This window comes from Homo sapiens, chromosome 7 (genome assembly GCF_000001405.40).
Source record: "Homo sapiens chromosome 7, GRCh38.p14 Primary Assembly".
In the NCBI taxonomy this organism is placed as follows: domain Eukaryota; kingdom Metazoa; phylum Chordata; class Mammalia; order Primates; family Hominidae; genus Homo; species Homo sapiens.
In genome coordinates, this window is record NC_000007.14 from 50487049 (window position 1) to 50509878 (window position 22830).

The window sequence follows — 22830 nt, forward strand, 5'->3', positions numbered from 1 at the left end:
CAGGCAAATGAAAAATTTTAAATATATAAGATCTGCCTCTGCCTGGGTCTGTTATGTCTATATGTTCAGATATGTCATGTGGAAATAATATTTTGCTACCAATTATATGAAAGAGTTCTAATTAATTGGCCTAAAGAAAAGTAAGTTTTTATCAGACTAATAGAAACTAGCTCAGAGGCTTTTCAGTTCATATAGTTTTAGTAATCTTTGGTAAGATTAATTTGGTAAAGTTAGTCTCAAAACTGTCCCCAGTAATTTGAACACTTAAAGTCATATTATATTAAATTAAGTAATCCTTGATTTTTCAGGGAGAATTAGGGTTAGTAGTGTATCGTAGGATGTGTTTTTGGTAAAGTTTATAAAACACGCGAGGATGTGTTTTTTGCTTAAGAAAATGTATTTTTCTAGTTTAGAGGACCTTTCTACTGGTGTTGAGATAAAAACCACTGTTTCTATTTAATCTTTTTTTTTGTAAACTGATGAGTCTGTATTGATATATCATGGCTAGAGTTCTGAAGTAAAAGCTATAGGATCTTTATTTGCATGACTGTTTATGTGTGCTTAGGTGTGTTTATGTATACATACATGCATTTTGTTATGTGTTGTGGCCACAAGGTACCAAATTGGCTTAAAAATAAAGGAGTACTCATAAATTTAGTAAATAATCCAAATGCTTTTCAAGTTCACATGACTTAACTTTTAATAAATAAGCTGGCTTTAAAATTATTGGCCAAATAAAATTAGAAAGTCTTAAGTACTGTCAACACATATTATTGTTTAGATTTATTGGTCAAGTAGTTTTATATTTATGTTTGCTAAATATTATAAGGTGTCAATATTTGGAATGAGGGTTATAAAGCCATAAATGCAGCCCAAAAGAGAATTATCTTTGTGTAACTTTTGGTAAGTAAGGCATTTAATATTGTTGGTTTAATAGCAAACAGTTAATACTGAATTATTTGGCAAAAAGAAAAAACAAATACATTTATTTAACCTTAAGTTTTTTACATAGGTAAACACCTGAAATTCGCAGGCTATAAAATTGGTTAGCAGGGAAATAACTTTAAATGATGACCATCAGTTTTTATAAGTAATCTATTAAAAAATTAATTAGATAAATATAATAGAATAAATGCTTGTTAAAAAACGACATATAATTTAGAATCTAAAGTAACATTAAACAAAATAATAGATATTGCTTAAATGTCTGGGTCATTTCCAATTTAAAAAAAAATATAGGAAAATGTTTTTCTGAAAAACAATGTTTTCTTATTAAAAAGAAATAATTTTTGTCTAATTCAAAGATTACTTAAAGGTCGTTTCTAAAACAAGGTAAAAGGAAACAGTAAATAAAAGAGATGCAAAAAAAGTTATAAATATTAAGTGGTATTTTTGGTAAGAAAGATTAAAAGGAAAACAATTTTACATGACAAAAATGTTGTGTGATATATTTTTTGTCCTAAAATAAAATCACTGGTTATTTAAAAAAGAGGATGTTTGGGATAAAACAGAAACTCCAAGTATTCAGTAAATGGTTTGTGTAAGTCATAATAAGGTTTATAAAAAGAGAATTTATGAAAAAATATTTATGTGATCAAGTTGGCCATAATTAAAAGAAAATTATTTATAATAGTCTTTCTAGAAATTGGGCTTTGATATTAAAAATACACTAATAAACTAAAAAAATTGTTAGAACAACTAAATTTTCTTAAGGTACTGGTTTATTCTTAATAAAATTACAAGACATTTTAATTTTCATAAACCAAAATTTCAACTTTAATTTCATCTCGCTGTTTTCAGCTTTCTCTCCCCTTCAAGAGGGCCCGAGATAGTAACTCTTTCAACTTTTTATCAGCTCCTTTAACTTTTTCCCCTCTGGTTCTGACTGATGTTGTGGCCTAATTAAAAAATATATCTTAACTTAAAGATCTAAACTGAATGGTTTTCTTTGTTTGCTTGTTTGTTTGTTTGTTTTTGAGATGGAGTCTTGCTCTGTCACCCAGGCTGGAGTGCAGTGGCACCATCTCAGCTCACTGCAGCCTCTGCCTCCCAGGTTCCAGCAATTCTTGTGCCTCAGCCTCCAGGATAGCTGGGATTACAGACACGTGCCACCACACCTGGCTAATTTTTGTATTTGTAGTAGAGATAAGGTCTCACCATGTTGGCCAGGCTGGTCTCGAAGTCCTGACCTCAAGCAATCCTCCCACCTCGGCCTCCCAAAGTGCTGGGATTACAGGCATGAGCCACCACACGCAGCCTAAAGCAAATGCTTTCTTCCTATATTATTCTCTAAATTCTTCTATGAAATAGAAAACTTATAACACAGGATGCACTCTTCCTATGTCTAACTAATTAAAGTCCTACGAAAACTGAGATTTAAAAAATTAAGGTTATTATATCCATATAACTTTCTGTATTGCTTCTAAAGTCATTGTACTATTACAGGACTTTGACTCCTGGGTCTAAAAAAGATACCAAGTCCAGCTAAATCTTAAACACTGACAGCAGTTAAAAGCCTCATCTTCAGACCCAGGAGAAGATGACAATCAAAATAAACTGTGTTCAAGAGACACAGGGCCAGAAATTAAAACTATTCAACCCCTCTAGGCCCAGGGACTATCAGAGTATCACAGAAGAGGTGGACACATAGATTGGAAGAGCTAATATTGACAGATAAAATTAGCTTAGTTTCTCTATAAATTAAACACTAATATCAAAGGTACACTGATGCAAGACCAGCATCTGTGTCCCTATGCCAGTTTAACAAGGTTTTCTTGGGACATTAACCCATTCTTTAATTAAAAAATTATAAAAGGTTATAAAATGATTTATGGAAATTATATATTTTGGTCAAGATGATTAAAATTTAATAGATTTGTTTATAAAATTTGAGAGAGATTTAATTGGCCTCATACTGTCTTTATTAGAGTTTATTGTTTAGAAAAGTAAGTCTCTTCTCTCAAAGAATAAAGGTTGTGAAATCTTTGAGTTATCGCTTTGGCTAAATGAATGACTGATTTTACAATGGCCTCTGTGTGATCCTGTTCTGTCATTGGTTATTTTACCAAGGCTTTGATTGGAATGACATTTTCAGATTGCCTTGAGAAAATAAGGGTGACCTACAGAGCTAGTAAAAGCCTCTTAGAAAAACTGGCCCCATACCTTGTCCTTTACAGGGTCCTGACCTATGGTAAGTAAAAAATGTCACTTTCTAACAGGGCTAGGAACCTCAAGTTCTCTTGGGACCTTGAAAATAGAAAAATTCAACCAATTCATACAGGTATCTATAGGCACAGAAAAATCCTTGACTGGGACTGAGGCTTTTAAAAAGGTCTAAATCAGCCGGGCACAGTGGCCCATGCCTGTAATTTCAGCACTTTGGGAGGCTGAGGTGGGTGGATCATGAGGTCAGGAGATCGAGATCATCCTGGCTAACATGGTGAAACTCCATCTCTACTAAAAATACAAAAAATTAGGCAGGCGTGGTGGCACGCTCCTGTAGTCCCAGCTGCTCAGGAGGCTGAGGCAGGAGACTCGCTTGAACCTGGGAGGTGGAGGTTGCAGTGAGCTGAGATCATGCCACTGAGCCGAGATCATGCCACTGCACTCCAGCCTGGACAACAGAGCAAGGCTCTGTCTCAACAACAACAACAACAACAACAAAAGCTCTAAATCTTAGATTCTTTATGAAAAGGTTCCAACAAAACCAATTTAAAAACAACAACAACAAAAAGAGCGAGAGAGCAAACCTATATGGCAAATGATTATTCTTGCTGCACTTTATCCAAATAATCAAGCCAATCATAATAGAACTAAAACTTATTTTACAAATAAATTGGCCCTATTATAATCTTGTATTTAATACAATTGGGGAACTGGAAAGAGAAAAATTATGTTTCAAAATAAACTATAGTACATCTGTAATTAGAGTCTAGCCTTGCCTAATGTTTGTCTGTTTTTATTATTTTCTACAATTTGGGCTGAATTCTAAAATTTTTCCTGGCTACAATTCTGGAAAATAATGTTGTCAGTTTTTTTTCCTTCTTTCTTTTCCTTTTTAATCGTGATTTGAAATCACTAAATATTAAGCTATGCTTTTCTTAAAGCCCTGTAAACTGAAGCTAGACAACGTCAACTTTGGAAGAAAATAACAGGAACCTATTTATATACGTAAATCACTTTCATACCTGCCTACTGACATAGGGACTTCAGAGTAATACGGTTTATGTCAGTTTTCCAGGATTGTTCTCCCTTTATTTTTGTTTGTTTGTTTGTTTGTTTCTCTCTCTCTTCCTCCACCTATTTTTTTCCTTCATGGGTCATGAGACTTTACAACCTGCTAAAAATGAGCTTTCCTAACCACGTGGGACCTGTCTAGAAATAAACTGTCTTAGTCACAAGAGACCAGACAAAACCCCAAGACTAGAGACGCATTTTCTTCTAAAATGCATTTTCTGAAGACTTTTTTTAAAAGGGGAGGGGAAGAAATGTGAACGGAAAATAAAAACTTGGTGCCTCAATTTACTATGCCAAAGGAAAAAAAATAAGCTGGATGCTTTCATGCAAGAAGATACCCTTCCTTTTGTTCCTAAGCAGAAAGCTACAGATAAAAGGTTAAATATCTCTACAGGTAGCTACTCTATGCTCACCTTATCTTATATAAAGAGCTGATTTACTGGGCGTGAGACAAATATATCATTGACTATTCCTCTACCTGCTCCTTTTCTCTCACAACACGTGGATTCAGTAATGTGACCATTCCCTCCCTCTTTCCCCTCCAGCTTGCCCTCCCCTTTAAATACTGCCGGCCTCAAAATCATCTTTGGGGAAAGGCACAAAGCACACCCTGTTTCTGTGATTCCATGTTTATTCTTCCAGGAATGTCCCTAAGCTTAGCAAAATAAAACATCTGAATTGATTGAGACCTGTCTCAGATACTTTTTGGTTAACAGGCCCTAATCCAATGTGACTGGTGTCCTTATAAGAAGAGAAAATTTGGACACAGGTAAACAGAAGGAAGACCATGTGAGGACAGGGAGAAGACAGCCATCTGCAAGCCCAGGAGAGAAGCCTCAGAAGAAACCAGCCTGCTGATGGCTTTATCTCAGACCTCTGGCCTCTAGGACTGAGATAAATCATCTCTTGTTTAAGCCGCTTGTCCATGGCACTTTGTTAAGCCAGCCCTAGCCAACTAATGCAGGCACAGTGCCCCCAAACAGTAAAGATCAGCAATTTCTGTGTTAAAACACAAATCTTTCAAAGATCAGATTTCATCTATCAACATTCATGCCATTTTTATAGTGTCATGGGACAAAACCTTGGGTTTTGGAGAGATCTGATTTTTCCAGGTACACAGCATCTCACCAAATTCTTTGACTCTTGTTCTGTCGAGAACGCACCGGCTCAGGAGAGAAAGAGCACATTCTCTATTGCAATTTAAAAACATATTTTGTAGCCTTTCAAGCCCATAGGAAGGTAAGAGGTTCCTCAAGTATTGCAACCACCCTGCCCCACCACTGTCGCCCACTCCAGAGGATGGGAACTAACCCCATCACCCTTCTCTTGTGGCAGACTTCCAGACACCGCAGGCCTCTCTTGTGTCTTAGGGCTTACGTTTAATTCCTTCTACAAGGAAATTTTCCAAATGGCCTTTTCCAAATGGCCTGGCCTCATCCCTGTGTGTCCTGTGTCTCTTCCCTACATCACCTCCACTTTGTCAAATTTCCCCTCACAGGCTGGTGGCTGAACTGAACCCCGAGCGCCGGGGAAGAGTTGTCCGGGAGAGATGAGCGCACAGCCGCCAACTTGCTGGCATCAGCTCTGCAGCGTCTGCGGCAGCCTCGGGGCATCAGCTCTGCGGCAGGCACTCCACGTCCCGAAAGGCTCAACTCCTTCTCACCACCGCACTGACTAAGCAGGTTTTCTTCAGCCTTAACATACGCACTGGTTGTCTGGACCTGAGGGCAGGACGCCGCATTCATTACACTCCTTCTTATCGTGTGTCAATATTTGCCTCCAAGATTAGGGACCCAAAATATTTCTGGTCCCTGACCGCTTCAGTTTCCTCATCTGTAAAGAGAGCGTGGCAATGTCTGTGTCCCTCAACACAGGGCTGTCGTGGGGGTCCAGAGAGCTACGAGAGGTTAGGGACTTAGAAGGGAGCCTGGATGTACCTATCCGCAGTCACTAAACAGCCTTGCTGATATCACTGTTCTATCCAGGCATTGAGGACGGCCTCAGGGCGCACGAGAACCCCTCCTCCGGACAGCCCATCAGCCCTGCCCTGCTCAAGGGTGGTTCTAGGGCTTCCTTTGTGGAAGGCATCTGAGGACGCCTGCCCCTTGCAAAACAAAAGCATGTAGGGAGAGCCACTTGTTCCCGCCAGAGCCTGTGGATGCTCTGCCTGGTCCTTCCGAACTCCAGCCACCTTAGAGGATTTTCCCCACTGACCAAAAACCTCAGCAGAGCGGATTTACATTTCAATCAAAATTACCCCTCGAATAAAGGGACCTCTGGCACACGGTGCAAACTGTCCTCACTGTGTTCCACCTTGGGTGAAACAGAAAAACACAACCACAAGAATACAAAAGAATACTCACATTCATAACGGCCATGTCTTTCATAAATACTTATTTCAGACAAAATTAAGTCTGAAATGCCCACATACCAACTGGTTTTAAAATTATATAGCAGAAGTTTGGGGAAAAAGACTGACAAAAAATAATTTGATTTGTATACAAGTAAAGGACTAGAAATGTGGTTAGCCTTAAAAAAAAAAACAGGAAAAGGTCAAACGGGTATTTTGGTAACCTTGAGAGCTGACATTAGTTGTTTTGTATAAAAGCTGCTTTCCTCATGCTTAGGAGGAAAGTGAAAAGTTATTCACTTAATTACATACTGAACAATTTTGCAAAGCCTTCTGAATATTTGGAAAATTTTGCAGTTTTGCATACTGTACAAAATTCATGCAAATCCTCCTGGCCCTATGATCAATCAATCAACTTCTTACTTTAAAACTTTAGAGAAACTAGTTTCTAGTGTCCCTGTATCACTGCCCATCATCATTATTTCTTTAAACATTGTGTAGGTGGTGTAATATCACCCACTTTAATGCTTTAGTTCTTTTTCTTATTCTAAATATCACCAAGGTATTATCATGCTGTTATTAAGAATTTCCGGCCAGGCACCGTGGCTTACGCCTGTAATCCCAGCATTTTGGGAGGCCGAGGAGGGTGGATCATGAGGTCAGGAGATCGAGACCATCCTGCCTAACACGGTGAAACCTCGTCTCTACTAAAAATACAAAAAATTAGCCGGGCGTGGTAGGCGCCTGTTGTCCCAGCTACTCGGGAGGCTGAGGCACGAGAATGGCATGAACCTGGGAAGCGGAGCTTGCAGTGAGCCAAGATTGCACCACTGCACTCCAGCCTGGGCGACAGAATGAGACACTGTCTCAAAAAAAAGAAAGAAAGAAAGAAAAGATTTTGAGCCAAGATCGCACCACTGCACTCCAACCCGGGCGACAGAGTGAGACACTGTCTCGAAAAAAAAAAAAGAGAGGAAGAAAAGAATTTCCAGGGAAATTCTTAGGAAACATGGTTACTATTATTTTTCTTTCGCGAATACTTTTTTTTTTGAGACAGAGTCTTGTCGCCAAGGCTGGATTGCAGTGGCATGATCTCGGCTCACTGCAACCTCTGCCTCCCAGGTTCAAGCGATTCTCCTGCCTCAGCCTCCTGAGTAGCTGGGATTACAGGCATGCACTACCACACCCAGCTAATTTTTTGTATTTTTAGTAGACACGGGGTTTTACCATGTTGGCCAGGCTGGTCTTGAACTCCGGACCTCAGGTGATCCACCCGCCTCGGCCTCCCAAAGGGCTGGGATTACAGGTGTGAGCCACTGTGCCCGGCCTTAGCAAATACTTTTAAGCATTTGGACTCAGATTGCTTAAACTTAGCATTACACTAAGACTGGTTACGAATCTAAGAATGAAAACACAAGCTACTGAATTAGAAGTGTGTACTTGCATTTGTTTTCTGTCAATGCTGGATAAATCAAATAAAAAATTGTCCTTTTTAGGCTTCTCATTTCTTATGCCAGTATGTTGCAATGATATTCCCTAGATAAAAGTTTCCAGTGAGGCTAAGAATTAGCAATAATTCCATCAAGGGTTCAGAAAAGGCAGCAAGCAGTGAGCTAAGTGACTATTGCACCCCTTTGGCTCTGGCATCTTCCCTGCCAGCTTCTTTCACTGTCACCTCGGACAGGCAACTGACATCTGTGAGCAGGGAAACTTACCACATGGCAGAACAGTCAAAATTCACCAATAGCCATTTGTGGGGATTAAAGTTGAATGAATCTGCAAACTGCCAAAGAACAAGAGTAAGAAAAAGAAAACATTTTCTTTATAAATGTTTAATTATAAAGAAGACCCCATACATGATAATAAAAGTTTATGGCACAACTAATCCACAGTGGTAGGGGCCAGGTAGGGTTGCCCAGGGGAGTAGTAACTTGTAGTGGGTAGGGGAGTCTTCTGGAGTGCTGGAATTGTTCTACTCTTGATCTGGGTGGTAAGTACATGGGGGTGGGTATATGTATTTAGAGTTGATTTGTATGTTTTGCTATATCTAGATTATACTCTCATAAAATGGAACAAGAATTTTAAAATTAAAAGTTTATATTCCCAAATGAAAAGCATTTTCAAATTTACATAATCTAATGTGACATAAAATGTATCCATATTATATTTTAAATTACTGGAATATTTGGAAAAATCAGAATTGTCCTTCACAAGCACAACGTACAGGAATTGTACTGATTTGGCCTGTGGAATACTTCATGCTTGAAGTTCCTTCCACTTGCTGAGCTAGCAAAGTTCTCAGACTACACGTGTCATGATAAACAGTGGGAAAGAGGAAATTTTATTACTAATCTACAGTAGATAGGGGTAAACCCAGTTTTCATTTAATTGATGGGTTCTTTTGCCAGCATTGCTGTAACATATCAACAATTCTCCTCATTTACCTAAATGCTTCTCTCTCTTTTTTTTTTTTTGAGCGACAGGGTCTTACTTTGTTGCCCAGGCTGGACATGAACACAGCTCACTGCAGCCTCAACCTCCCAAGCTCAAGTGATCCTCCTGCCTTAGCTTCCTAAGTAGCTGGGACTACAGGCGTGTGCCACCACACACAGCTAATTTTTAAAATTTTGTTTGTAGAGACAGTGTGTCTCATTACGTTGCCCAGGCTGATCTCGAACTCTTGGGCTTAAGCCGTCCTCTTGCCTCAGCCTCCCAAAGTACTGGGATTACAGGTGTGAGCCACTGCACCCCGACCAGCTCCTTTATTTTTAAAGTTCATTGTATTCCTAACAGCTACAGGCTCCCGTAGCTGGAAGATCCTGGGTAAAAACTGTGAACAACCGGCTCTGGCTGCATGCATCAGTGTTAGGGGCTACCTTATTTTCAAGGAGAAAATAAGAGGTTTAAACCACCAAGAGTGGCAGAGGAGGACACTCTGCATTTTCCCTGAGCTGTCATAAATGGTGCTTTCTTTTTCAAATGCATGTCCTGGTTTATCACCTGACTGGTGAACAGGAACAGGGTCCACCTTAATGGCCAGGGATTTGGCCATGCGGCTGGATTCATAATTGATACCGAAATAAAGGTGGCTGTTGCAGTGAGGCGCCAGTCTGGCCGACTCTCCTACTGGGAAACTTTTCAGTCTTCCCAAGGCCCTAGGGCACCTCCTGTCTACTTGGTTTCAGGGATGTGCACCGAGGAGGCAGCAGAAGCTTGAGGGACCTGGGGGGCGTCCTGGGAGGCATTTGGTTGGTGGATGACAACTTTCCACTGCTCTGGAGACCCAGGTTCATTTCCTTCTAGGTTTTAATAAAAGTAATTTTGAGAAAAGGACAGGAAATTACAGCAAGTTTCATTTGTTGATAAAAGGAGACAAAAGGTTAAAGAGGAGCTCTGTTTGCTAGGAGTCTTATGAGTTCCCTCCTATGGGGCTGATCTGTTTAAACTTCTCTCATTACCCAGCAGTGATATTTTCCTCCTGCCAACCGGAGAGAAAGGCTCTTATCTCCAAGGGCAGGGCCACAACAGGATATTGCAGCCTCCTTATCTGCCCCACTGAGACGCACAGCCCTCAGCTGGGCATGGAAAGAGTCGGGAGCAATAATGCAAGAAAAATGGCAGTGACTCATTGTACAGCATGAAATCCTGTCTGTTGCTGATAGGATCTGGCTGGAAAGCCCATTGCTGTGGTGGTCTGACAATGAGGCACCCTTCTATGAAAGATGAAACCTCAAGTTGTCAGTTCTTGGGGAAAAGAAGAGCAGTGGTAGGAAAAGATCACGAACCCTAAACCTGATACCCAGAGTTAGAAAAGAGCATCAAGCTCAGGCCAGCCGTGGGGAGGGCACATAAATCCCAGAGGACTGCTTAGCCCTTCCTCCCTTGAAACTGTCCCAGGACAGATGTTTCAAATAATGGAGATTATCTCCATCATGCCATGCATTTATATGATACAGAGATTTACTCTTCGTTTCCCAGCACCAAACACGCACCAAACTAGCTACCGGCAATGAACTATATCAGCTGGGTACTGGCATCACATTATGAGAACTTCTCATATACTATACCCTCTCTCCAGTGCGTACATAGGTCTTTGGAAGCTCCATTTACCCCCAAGGATCCATCATGTAAGTCCTAGGTTGTATTAAGTACTCAACAAGTAATTATTGAATGAATGAGTGAATGATTGTGATGCAGACATAAACCAGAATACTACTTCATTGATTAGTAGTAAGAGGATTATTCTTTCCAAAGATGGGGACATTTGTATTCTATACCTCTGGTACCCTCTTTTCTGGTATTACAGCATTATGAGAATTCAAAGTTGTAATTAGAATAGTGATTAGCAAACCTGACATGCAAGCAGAGGAAGCTGTCAAGGGAAAGTTTTTCTAAGACGTAGTAGAAAATCACAAAAGCACCTAATGCAATTTCAGTATTTACTGTCTGCCAGGCACTGTTTTTAAGCCCTTAAAACATGATTAACTCATCTACTCCTGGCGACAATCCCACACCGGATGTATTCTTATGAAATCTATTTTCTGGAGGATAGGGAGGATATCTAACTCGCCCAAGGGTACACAGCTAGTCTTAAGGATAAATCTAGGATTCAAACCAAGGAGTCTAATGCAGAGGACTGTGCCCTTCATCTGCCATCACACATGGGTGAGGTCTCACGACACCTCCTGCCCCTTGGCAGAAAGCATTTCTTTCTTGGCCAGTGCCACAGCTCCCCTGCTTTGCTACCTCCTTCTCTTGGAAACACTGCCAAAGACTGCCTCTCAGGACCCTCTATGGCATTCAAAGCTGAGTTCTTGGGGAGAAGAGACTTCCTACCCTATGAGCCACCACCAACAATGAAATCCCGCTTGAGTCTGAAATAACACACCACAGTATATCAATAAGGTCATTTTTTTGTGTTAAGTCTGTACCAATTTACATTCTGTTGCTTTTTGGAGAAGCGGAGTGCTGGTCAATAATTTTGATTGCTACTTCTCAAAAGAAGCAGGCATTTCACTTAGCATTAAAGATCATGCTTTACAATTTCCAGAAGACTGCCTAGGGGCATTTAAATGCATTGGTAGCTTCTCGTTCAATATTGGTTAAAGTGAATATCATGTTCAGATGTATGGGCAGAACATGACTGTCATATTGAACCAGATTGTATGGAATTGCGGGTTGGTATTTTAAATTACTCTTTTGAGTTTAAGTTCATTAAGATTTTATTTTGTTCCTACTTTCCCACAGTTTTATAAGCTAACATTTATTCTTTCTGTTTGGGATTTGTGTAGATTGAAATGGAACTGTAAGTGTCAGGAGTATTTCAGGAGGACAGGCTGTATGGCTGGGGAAGGCTCTCAGCCCCTATTCTGAGGAAGTCGGAATTGGTTCAAACATAATTGGCTGAAACAAACCTCAATAGCAAGAGACTGGACGTCAGCTCCTCATGAAGGGAGAGGTCAATAACAGAGCACTGTGAAAACAGCCTTAGGGAGAGCGAAGGGTGCACCTACCTCCACTCCATTCAGAAGGTGCCGGAACTCAGGGCAGATGAATGCACTGCCTGCGTAGGCTGCATCAACGTGCAGCCATATGTCTTCCTTGTTGCCTAAAGTTCAGAATCAACTTGTGAGTCCCCAGATGGATGCCTCACCACGGAGCCTGCCAGCTGACCTCGCCCTGTCTGAGCACCTTCTTGGGTAGAGCATGCCAACAGTATTTGCTGAACTAATGGCTGAATCCCCAAAAGGCCCCCTCATTCAAAGGGTCTAAAGCTGAGGGCAGTGTGTGTGCTGCTGGCCCCAGACACACCAGGGAAAATGGAAGCCACTGCACCACTTGGTTTTCTCTCCTGACCCTGGCGGCTAAGTGTAACTCCAAGGGACCATCGTGTGACAGCCTCATGTTACTCACCTGCATTTCTCTCCAGTGACACCACCCTTTCCACCCACCTGGAATTCCCTTCCTGGTTCCCTTTGCTAATCCATTCTCAAGTCCTCCCCCAAACATCATCCAAGGGGAGGTCTGCACACAGTCCACGCTGACCTCTACCTGCCCCACTCCATCCCCACCACCAGGTGAAGTTCTTTACTTTACACCATCTTAGACCATCCCCTGCTTTCTTCATGAACAGGGTTCTGTTTTCCAACCATGCATAGCAGCCTTGTGGGCAGGGGCTGCCTCATTCAGGAGCTGGGAGAGCCACAGATGTAGCATGCTCCCTCAATTTTGACAGATCTGGGCTCAACTCCTGCTTCCAGTTGCTCCCCAGCCAAGGGGCCCTATCTACTTCTCCAAGCCTCACTCTCCTCCCAGGAAGATGGAGATGAAATAGTACCCATAGGCCCAAGGGATGAGCAAGGGAATATTTACAATGTGCTTGCCAGGACCCCAGCACTGAGTAGGGGAGAAATAAATGTGGCTTCCATGGTTGCTGCCTCTCAGCCCTAGGCACCCAGGAGAGTAAGAGTTGAAGGGTGAAGGACCACAGAGAGGGCGCGAGCCACCCTCACCTCACAGGGTGGATACCAGTGTCAGGGTACCGTGGGGTAGGTGTCAGGGTCAGCATATGCATTTGTAGGGATCCATGGATTCACCGTTCACTCACCATCCATGGTGCTCATTGTGCAATGAGGCGTGAGACTCTCAGGGGCACTAATTAGTCACAGTTCCAATCAGGAGGGCTCCACTGTGCTGACCTCATTACCACTGGAAGGCCCCACCTCCAATACCATCACCTTAGGTTAGAATTTCAGCAAATGGGCTTTGCGGGGGACACAAACGTTCAGACTACAGCAAGCTTCAAATTTACACCTATCTTATGATGTGATCTGAGGTTTTTCTCAACCTTACCGCTGATCTGAGCTACAGGCATGGACATCCCATGATTACTGAGTGACTCCTCAGGGAGAAACTCTGCAAATCCTAAGGCCTTGTGCTCTTCCTGGCTCACTGCTGCATCCATCTGGGGTTATGCAAGCACCAGGTGAGACTGATTCTGGGGGAAGTGATGAGCCCCTAAGCCTCGGTTCAGGTCCACACTGCTCTGTGACCTTTGGCCTCCCATGCCCTGGGGTGGATATCCGTGTCCGCAGGACACACTTGACCTTAATCCAACTGAGGGCTTTCATCCTGATGATTAAACTGAGTCAAAGCTTTGAAACGCCTTATGTCTTTTATCAGCTTTGTGGAGGACTGTGTTCTCTCTAAGCTTGCAGTTGGCCTACAACTCCTGCAGAAGGGAACTTACAGACCCCTAAAGGAAGTGGACTCTGAAGGGCTTCTCTGGTTTCCATGGGGATGCATGGAGCTGTGGGCATGCCTCTGCATTCTGCATTCTGCATCTCATATGTGATCCACTAACAGCACACACTGCATAGCACGGCCCATCTAGGAACCAGGCAGACACAGAGACCCTCGGCCAGAGCTTGAGAAGTTGCATGCACCAGGGGCACACCTAGCCCTGAGGCAAGGCTGCCTCAGTGGGGAGGGATGGGACAGGCTCACACCCCTCCAGCTTCCTGCTGTCAGTGACTCTTTCCTTCTGAGACTTCCCAGGAACTTGCGGCAGGCCTGGCTGCCCCTCCAGCTGCACGTCCTCTCTCAGTTATGCTGGCACCTCAGGATGCAGCTTTGGCTGCCTGCCCTGTGCTATTCCCTTCCTCACACCTTGAGATGGCCTCCCCAACTCAGCCCATACCCTCGTCCTCAGTTTCCCCACTTCCCCATCGGCAACCTAACTGACTTCAACTATCCACTTTTTGTATTCCATCTTCTCAGTAAAACCTGCCAGACAACTGATCCATCCAAGCAGACCAATCTGAATACCCTCACTGGCAAATCATTTCAAATGCAATAAAAAGAAAATGTCTTTCCTAAGGCAGCAATTGGAAGAAAACCATCTTCTGATTTGTTTTCTTTGTCAAATGATGGTGGGTGAATAACTTATCTGAATTATGTTAGATTATTCTAATCATATATAGAATAAGGTCAGCTCAGGATCTCAGAACAGTCCCGCTTGGAGTTGGAGAATGCTAAATATCTGGTGATAGGAAAATGGTAGCAGGAGAGGGAAAGTAGGTAAAAGGGTGCTGACTTAATTGTTAAGGTACCACCAACAGTTAGTAATATAACACCATCAATAAAAATGGAAATGTTGGCCGGACACAGTGGGTTACGCCTGTAATTCCATCACACTGGGAGGCTGAGGCGGGCATATCATCTGAGGTCAGGAGTCTGAGACCAGCCTGGCCAATATGGTGAAACCCCATCTCTAATAAAAATACAAAAATTAGCCAGGCATGATGGCATGTGCCTGTGATCCCAGCTACTCAGAAAGCTGAGGCAGGAGAATCACTTGAACCCAGGAGGCAGATGTTGCAGTGAGCTGAGATTGTGCCACTCCAGCCTGGGCCACAGAGCAAGACTCCATCTCAAAAATAAAGAAAAAAAAAGGAATTGTCAAAACTGACCTCCCCTATGCATTCTGCCAATGGATGAAAGGGTTTTGGCATTCACCCATGTCAGCTCCTTCTGCACAACCCCAAAAGCAACCTCAGTGTTTCAAACCAAACAAATCATAAATCAAGCTCTGTGCACAGCCTCCAGCCTCTACAAAGAAGAGGGGGCCCCAGATAGCAGGAAGGCCTGAGCTGGATCCATCCAGGGGACTGTGACTGGCAGGTGACACACGCTGGCTGTCATCTCCATGGTCCAGCGGGCAGCCCACACTTGGCCCAGGGGACAGCAGGCCATGTGGGCTCTATCCAGCAGAAGACCTCGGCCCTTTAAATCCGATAGCCCTAGGGAATTACATCAGCCAGCTACTGGCCAGGACATTCAGTTCTTAGCCTGACATCTGAGTCAGAGGACTCCAAGTTGCTTGGCTGAGCTGATGAAGGTTTGCAGCTGATGAGGCCAATGCTGTGGCTGCAGTCCTGAGTCAGCCAGTTCTATCCCTTCTCCCCAGCCCGGGGCTGTGCACGACCACTTCCCGCCAGTTGTTCTTACAGCTGTGTGCCACAGAGCATAAACGGTGGAGCATAAACCCTGTGAGAGCGGGTAAGTCTATGCCACCCACCTCCCAGTAGTTCCCAGCACTGCATTCCTTGCTGTGCAGCAATGCACTCTACCTTTGGGATGGTGCATTTTCCCTGCATTAATTTATCCTCTGAATAATCGTGTGGGGAAATCTTGTTATTTTATGAGCACAAGTGGGGTTTTTCTCTTCACTTTACAGACAGCATAAATGAAGCTCAGAATGTAAGATTCAGGGGTGGATCCTGGGCTGCACCCTAGCTTCCTTGTCACCAATTTCATGTCTAGCTCACACAAAGGCACCTGCACCTTCAGCACCGGCCTTCCCCAGCTGCTGACCCCAAGAAGGGAGGCCAACGCCCAGGAGAGGAGGGTCCACTCCTCTGAGTATGGACTATGGGTGACTCTTGGGTTAGGAGAGGTGAGAACTGTGCTTGGCTTGTGCAGACTAAGGAGGAAGCCAATTCCCTGGTAGCTGTTGTGGGATCTGGCACAGGCCACAGGTATGTGATCTGAAGGCCCCACTTGGGCAGCTCCACTCACAGCCGAGCGGTCAGAACATTCCCATCCTAGAGGGACAGAGAAAGGGGGAGCCCCCTGAGCCAGTGTCCCTGCCCTACGAGGGTTCTTCTGTCCACAGAAGCAGCTTCAAGACCTGCTGAGTTCCCAGAGCTACATGTCAAAGGTGAAACTCTAGAAACAGAGCTGCTCATTCACATTCACCTTTTGAAAACACAGCATCCTAGTCTCAATGAGAAAACCTAGGATCTCTGAATGAGGAAGGGAGGAGGTGAGAGTGACCAGGAAAACATCTGAAGCACAGATTATTCCTTGGCGAAATCCAGTTTCATTGTGTTGATTTGCTAAACTACCTTCAGCAATTTTCTTAACTGCATTCAGTAATTCCAAAAAAAGGTGAAAAAGGGATATACCAAAGAATTAAATTCAAGTGTGGACAATTCTCATATCAGGTGTATGCACGACCCACATATGAAGGTGGTTACTCTAAGATTTTGAAGAGTTTATTCTCCTCAACAGGGCCAACATAACCTGCAATTTTACATAACTTCTATATTGCTCGGATTTTTTTTCTTACAAATAGTGTGTTGGTAGAACTAAGCTCAGTTCTTTTCCAATTAGCCCAAATTCTGAGTTTGTGGAGTTCAAGCTAATGAGGTTTGTGTTATTGCAAATACGAGAAGAGCTGGGCAAACCATCACAATATGAAGTTAACGACAAGAAAGAGATCAACGAGGAAGGTTTGCTAAATTCCCCGTGTACAGAGAACATTTTCCAAAAAGAAAATGGAATCGGATACTTACAGATAGGACCGACTTCTAAGAGATTGTCAAAGGAGCAGCATGTTGTGGTCCCCAGGGTGGCAACCATCTAGAGGGTAAAAAGCAGACAGCCTTTTATTCCCCAGGTGCCAGTCACCGCTGTAACCTCCACACAAGCAACTGCTGCCCCATGGTCCAACCTGGGGCCATGAGCCGAGATCCCAATGAATGTCTGCTACATGGAAACGTAAGCCCATGGATGCACATTGAATCTTTGGGTGAAAGCATCATAACAGGTTAAGAGAAACAGATTTGCAGACAGAAAACTAAGCTCTGAGGTTAGAAACCGGGAAGTTGCAAAAGATTTTCCAGGGTGCCTTGGGGCAGACATGAAGCAATCTACCACCTGGACAATGATACCTATATTCTACTTTAGTAAATATACATATACTATATTCTACTTTATTAAATATACATATATATGTATGTGTGTATATTTTTGTTAAATTTTAATTAACGTTCTATGTAACATTAGTGTAACTATGTTCTTATATTCCATATATACATTTTAATTTAATTATAATCTAATTAAATTTATAATTAAGTTATAATTAAAATATACACAAGTGTATATATTTTATTTTCTATATATATATGTGTGTGTATATATATACATATATAGAGAATGTAAGAACATAGTTACTACTATGGAGCAGAAGCCTGGGATTTTTTCCTAGTTTGGGGGGGTGTGTGTGTGTCTGTGTGTGTGCACGTGTGTGTGTGCATACACCCATGTGCAATGCACAGAGCAGAGCAAGCGCAGTAGAGATGAGTCTCCCTCCAGCAGGGCCCAGACTGCCCAAGGCACTCATGGAATGCTTCTTTCAGAACAGACTTTGGCATCAGTTAAGAGTCACACTAGGATTTTGAGCAAGAGTATCATTTACCAGCTTTAATCCGCTGCCTTTCTCTTTCTGAATGATACTGTTCCCAAAGATTAATTAAATCCTCAGGAGGTCATGAGAAAACACTGCTGACATTGAAAATAATTTTAAAAGGGATGTTCTGAGAAAGCATTGAGTGCTGTCAGTCACACAACCCAGAAAATACGGGCTGGGAGTCACTGCGGCCTCTCCCGAGCTCTGAGGACCTTGTGGTGCCACGATCGCACTGGCACAGCCTGACTGTGTTGTCCCCACACACATGTCTGTCTCTCCCTCCAGACCCATGATGCTCCCAAAGCCAGGGACCCTGTCTCATTGTTTTGTGTTGGGCTGAGCATTTGCACTTTGCTGGACATTGCATAGATGCTGAAACCTATTGCTGAATTGAAACAGCTCTCTCCAAAGGATCAAAACGCACATTATGTTTACAAAACCAAAGGGCCTAATTGATTTATGGATGTCATGCAGTCTAGATAATGAAATTTCTTTGCAGATGCGACAAGAGTGTGGAATAGAATTAAATTTGTGTGACCTTTATTGAGCCCCCTGTAAAGTCTTAGCAATGCCATGTGTCCTGAGGATAAAGATAGAGAGGTCAGAAACTCGTATGTGAGAACCCCAGTTCGAGACCTTTGTGGCTCCATTTCACCTATGACTGCCTCGCATTTCACCTGGAAACCAACTTTTCCTTTTAGAGAGAGACAAAGTGTTCATGCCCAGGTAGCACAGAGTCAGCCTGCAGAAGGTTCGTCTCACCAGCTTTGCCCTGCTCCTCTCACAGGTGGCTGGGCTGGACAAGGTACTTCTCAGACAGAGCGATGCCTGCTCAGGGACCAGAGTTTTCCATGCCAAACCCCGGGGCGTGGGCCCAAAACAGGTCCTGGCTGGACTCTGGAAGGGCTCTCTGTGTCACTGAGCTATGCCCAAGGGAGTCAGTCCCCCAAGGGGCTACCCTCAGGCGCAGGAGGGGCAGTCTGTTTAAATGTAGGCTTTCTTCTTGTTCAGGATGGTGAGCCCAACAAGTCAGGAGATGACTGCCATTAAAAACAGCTTGTTCCTCACAGTCCCCAAGGGGAGGGGGACATGGGGAAGCACGAGGATCAGTTGGGCAGCAGAGGGGTGGGGGAAAAACAGCGGCAAGGGCCTGTGTTGTGGTTTCCACAGGAAGAACCAGGCAGGGCAAGGGTGAGCAGGATTAGGATCGGCTGGTTTGAATAATTTCAGTGGGCTCTGGGGTCGCATTTGGTCTGCTCCAGGTCACATTTGGAGCAGTGGCTGTCCCTAGATGTCTGGTACCTAGCCCTTGAGTGGTCAGGGCAGGAGGATAGTAGCCCAGAGTGTGAGAGCCCCACAGAGGAGATGCTGGGGTAGGAGCTCTGTACTGATGATTTTGCATTTCAAAGGTGAATTTGCTTTTTTTTTACAAATTTGTTTGAGTTCCACACACCGGGGCCTGTCATGGGGTGGCAGGAGTGGGGAGGGATAGCATTAGGAGATACACCTAATGTAAATGACGAGTTAATGGGTGCAGCACACCAACCTGGCACATGTATACATATGTACAAACCTGCACGTTGTGCACATGTACCCTAGAACTTATAATAAAAAAGAAAAGAAAAGAAAGGTGAACTTGCAAGTGAGTCCTTTAAGAGCTCTAGGAAACCCCTCTCCCTGAGAAGGGCAGTCCCTCCAGGGTCAGCAAGACCCAAAGGTGTCACAGCATCAGAAGCACAGATAGTAAAAAGGCACAGTGAATACAGATAGTTAAACCATGTATGTGGGGCACAGAGACCTGGGCTGGAGGCCCAACTCCATGTCACATTGGCACCTGGCTGGGCTTTATTTTTCTTACCTACAAAGCAACGTATTGCACTTACAGACCTGCCCGGTCTATCAGGTGCCAACGGGCTAACATCTTGCATACCTCAATGTTTCTCCTGGTGCTGTCAGCATCCTTTCTTAACCTCTGGATGTCCCCTCCTCATGTCAAGCATCAATAATTCTCCGCATTTGTTTCATTTTGGCAAGATAAGTCATTTAGTGGGAATTGAAGTCAGTGTGTTGTTTTTCTCTGCTATTTGCAATTTCATCTTGACATATAATTGAATGTTAAAGCACTTTGTCTAAGACACCTGGCTACTCAGTTTGTAGAGCATGAGAGTCTTAGAATGCCTTATCTTTATCCTTAAGAGAATAGCGAAAAAGAATGACTTAACAATATTAATATTGCTTGAAACTTATTTTCTCAACTCCCAGAGTCATATCTTAGAAATGACATATCTCTAGTTTAGCAATTCCTTCTGTTTCATCTGACTTTCTTCAGTTAAACACTAAACTAAATGCAATAACTTTTTTTTTTTGAGATGGAGTTTCACTCTTTTTGTCGAGGCTGGAGTGCAGTGGTGCGATCTCAGCTCACTGCAACCTCCACCTCCTGGGTTCAAGTGATTCTCCTGCCTCAGTCTCCCGAGTAGCTGGGATTACAGGCACCACATCCAGCTAATTTTTTGTATTTTTAGTAGAGACGGGGTTTCACCATGTTGGCTAGGCTGGTCTCTAACTTCTGACCTCAGGTGATTCACCCACCTCGGTCTCCCAAAGTGTTGGGATTACTGGGGAGAGCCACCATGCCCAGCCAATAACTTCTATTATTAAAAATTTATTAAATGTGCCCTTATTAAAATTATTTTCTCTCTATTAATGTGTGCATAGAAGAGTATCTAGAGTGATGTTCACCAAACAGTAATACTGCATTTCTCTTAAGATTTTGGTTAACATAAACCTTTATTCTTAGATTCTTATGTAATTACTGATTTTTTTTGTTCTGAGTATGAAACATCTTTGCAGAAACAATAAAACCCGGCCTTGTCCTGGCAGTGGCCTAGGTTGAGAATAGGGGTGATGTTCTTTGCGGCTAACTCTGCAGCAGGCCTAATGCTGACAGCCTTTCCTATATGATATTTAATTGCCACCACCTTATGAGTTAGATATGCTCGTGATTCCCACTTTACAGTTGACTTATGTGAGGCTCCAAGAGGTGGGTAATTGTCCCAGGACACCCAGATAGGCAGGAGCAGACCAAATGTGACCCCAGGCTTGGTTAGCTCTTGTTGTCCTGCCACATGCTGGGCAAACAGGACCCCTGGGACACCAGTCCCTGAACATCAGTTAACGAGCTCAGCACCTGGGCCATGCCAGAGGCCCCTCCAACAAACCCAAGCACTTTGCTGTGGTAAGGAGGAGGCCTGGGGGCTGCAAGGACAGTGTTCTAAGTGGCTTGTCTACGTGGGGCTGAGCTACAAGTCAGCCTGTCCTAATTCTCAGAAGCCACTTTAAAGCCAGCACCTGCTCCGCTCCAGGCTCTGATTACTCCAGCTCAGCATTGCTCAATGACGCTAACCTGATTCCAGGCGCTCTGCAGAGGCATAATCACATTTGTGCAGGGGGAAGGAGGGGTAGGGGACAGTTCAGGCCTCCATCTCAAAGAGCCCACAGTCTTCCTGCAGTGGCAGAGCCCAGCACAACCTTCTCTTCTGCATCCTTGCCCCTTCGACTAGCCCTCTGTGCTCACGTAAGTGCCTCGCAGGCATCGCCCTCTGTGGCCCGACCTTATCAAGCTGGCTCATTAGGGAAGCAAGCTGTCCTGAGAAACAAGGGGAAACTTTATTACAAGCCCCAAGCCTGTTCATGGAAGGGCAATGATTCAGCTTTTCTGGTTCAAACCCTGCCAAATGTGCCCCTTGCCCTCAGCAGCAAGTCTTCAATTTTAAGGGATCTACAGCCCCTTTGAGAATATAATGAAGACCATGTGGCTACATCCCAGAAGGACGCATATAGTCATTATGCACATGCCCAGTTATAACCACAAGGGCACAGCTGGGCAGTGAGACAAGGCTCAGGCTCCAACCCCTCTCCTATGAGGGCCCAGACTCTCTCCAGCTTTACAATCCTTTGGCTGCCAGTTAAAGACAACAAACAAGGTGCATTTCCTGGAATGTCCTGTGCTTTTCTGATCTCTGTACGCTGCAGCCCTCTTCCCTCCAACAAGAAAGGCACCATGCCCAGAAGTACCTGCCTGGATATCCCCTGACACAGCTCCTGTGTTCTCTCTCAGCAACAGGCTTTCCAAATCCCCTCTAGGAAGTTTATTTGCGCCCTCTACCCATGTATATATGCATTGTTCTCATCAAATGGCGTGGAGATGGGAACATACCTGTCTTCCCCACCAAGAACCATGCCATGAGGAAAGGGACCATGGCTCGCCACACACCTCCAGGGCTGGTACGGTGCCGGTGCATGGGGCAGTCTACGGCAAAAAAGTGATTCTCCTCTCTGATCCGATACCTACAATTGGCCCACATCTGTGGCTTCTATCAGCAGAATGTTCTGGAATTTTGGTCTTTAGGGCAAAATTCCAACAGAGGCATATTAATTTGGTCCTTCCATCTTCCTCAAAGAAAATAAAATTTGATTTTGTTTCTCTTAATGAAATGTGTAGTCTTCTCTTTCGTGCTTCTGCCTCCTCCACCAGCTCCTTCACATGCACAGATAAATCTCTCTCTCAGCACATCTCCCTCGGCCCAACTTGCTCCAGCAATGGCACTATTTACTCTTCTTTCCTTCACAGGCAAACTTCTTTATAAAGGAATCCATTCCCACATTTTTCATTTCCTCATTTGCCCAGTGGAATCTGAATTTCACCCACAGACACTCTAGTAAATAAACTCCTAAGAAAATCGTAAATTACTTCCTCTTAGCAAATGAATGAATGAATGAATGAATGAGTCATTTCTTAGTGCCTGTATTACTTGGCACTTCCAGCAATTTCACCATTACATTTCTTTCAGTAGAAGTCACTATTTTAACATGACTTTTATGTTTAATAACTCTTTATAAAGAAACTTTTGGTATAAATTGGTACAATGTTTTTGAAGTAGAATGTGAGAGTATGTATCAAAGTCTTGGGGAAAAAAAACCCATCTCT

At 43.5% G+C, this 22830-nt stretch overlaps 1 protein-coding gene across 10 annotated transcripts in view, besides 5 other annotated features; it reads right to left on the reverse strand.

Moving 5' to 3' along the window:
* The window catches only part of DDC (dopa decarboxylase), a 106964-nt gene that overhangs the window by 28607 nt on the left and 55527 nt on the right, over positions 1-22830 (reverse strand). For 9 of the 10 annotated variants that reach the window (XM_005271745.5, NM_001082971.2, XM_047419932.1 and 6 more), the window contains 3 exons: positions 16945-17011; positions 12100-12194; positions 8302-8369 (listed from right to left, as the gene is read on the reverse strand). In XM_005271745.5, the coding sequence (XP_005271802.1) occupies positions 8302-8369; positions 12100-12194; positions 16945-17011 (230 nt within the window). Of the gene's footprint in view, positions 1-5598; positions 5958-8301; positions 8370-12099; positions 12195-16944; positions 17012-22830 lie in introns of those variants that run through there. The other variant, NM_001242890.2, reaches the window with a different exon arrangement.
* Positions 9496-10960: an enhancer, noted in NCBI's record as "VISTA enhancer hs2059". NCBI's record gives its function as "enhancer in: heart[8/9]" and the evidence as "EXISTENCE:transgenic organism evidence [ECO:0001131][PMID:17130149]".
* Positions 14833-15334: an enhancer, noted in NCBI's record as "H3K4me1 hESC enhancer chr7:50569579-50570080 (GRCh37/hg19 assembly coordinates)". NCBI's record gives its function as "activates a minimal SCP1, AML or CMV promoter by ChIP-STARR-seq in naive H9 embryonic stem cells {active_cell/tissue: H9 hESC(naive)}" and the evidence as "EXISTENCE:reporter gene assay evidence [ECO:0000049][PMID:30033119]".
* Positions 14833-15834: a biological region, named in NCBI's record as "H3K4me1 hESC enhancers GRCh37_chr7:50569579-50570080 and GRCh37_chr7:50570081-50570580".
* Positions 15303-15597: an enhancer, noted in NCBI's record as "tiled region #9793; HepG2 Activating non-DNase unmatched - State 10:DNaseD, and K562 Activating DNase unmatched - State 9:DNaseU". NCBI's record gives its function as "activates a minimal TATA promoter and a strong SV40 promoter by Sharpr-MPRA in HepG2 and K562 cells {active_cell/tissue: HepG2 | K562}" and the evidence as "EXISTENCE:reporter gene assay evidence [ECO:0000049][PMID:27701403]".
* Positions 15335-15834: an enhancer, noted in NCBI's record as "H3K4me1 hESC enhancer chr7:50570081-50570580 (GRCh37/hg19 assembly coordinates)". NCBI's record gives its function as "activates a minimal SCP1, AML or CMV promoter by ChIP-STARR-seq in naive H9 embryonic stem cells {active_cell/tissue: H9 hESC(naive)}" and the evidence as "EXISTENCE:reporter gene assay evidence [ECO:0000049][PMID:30033119]".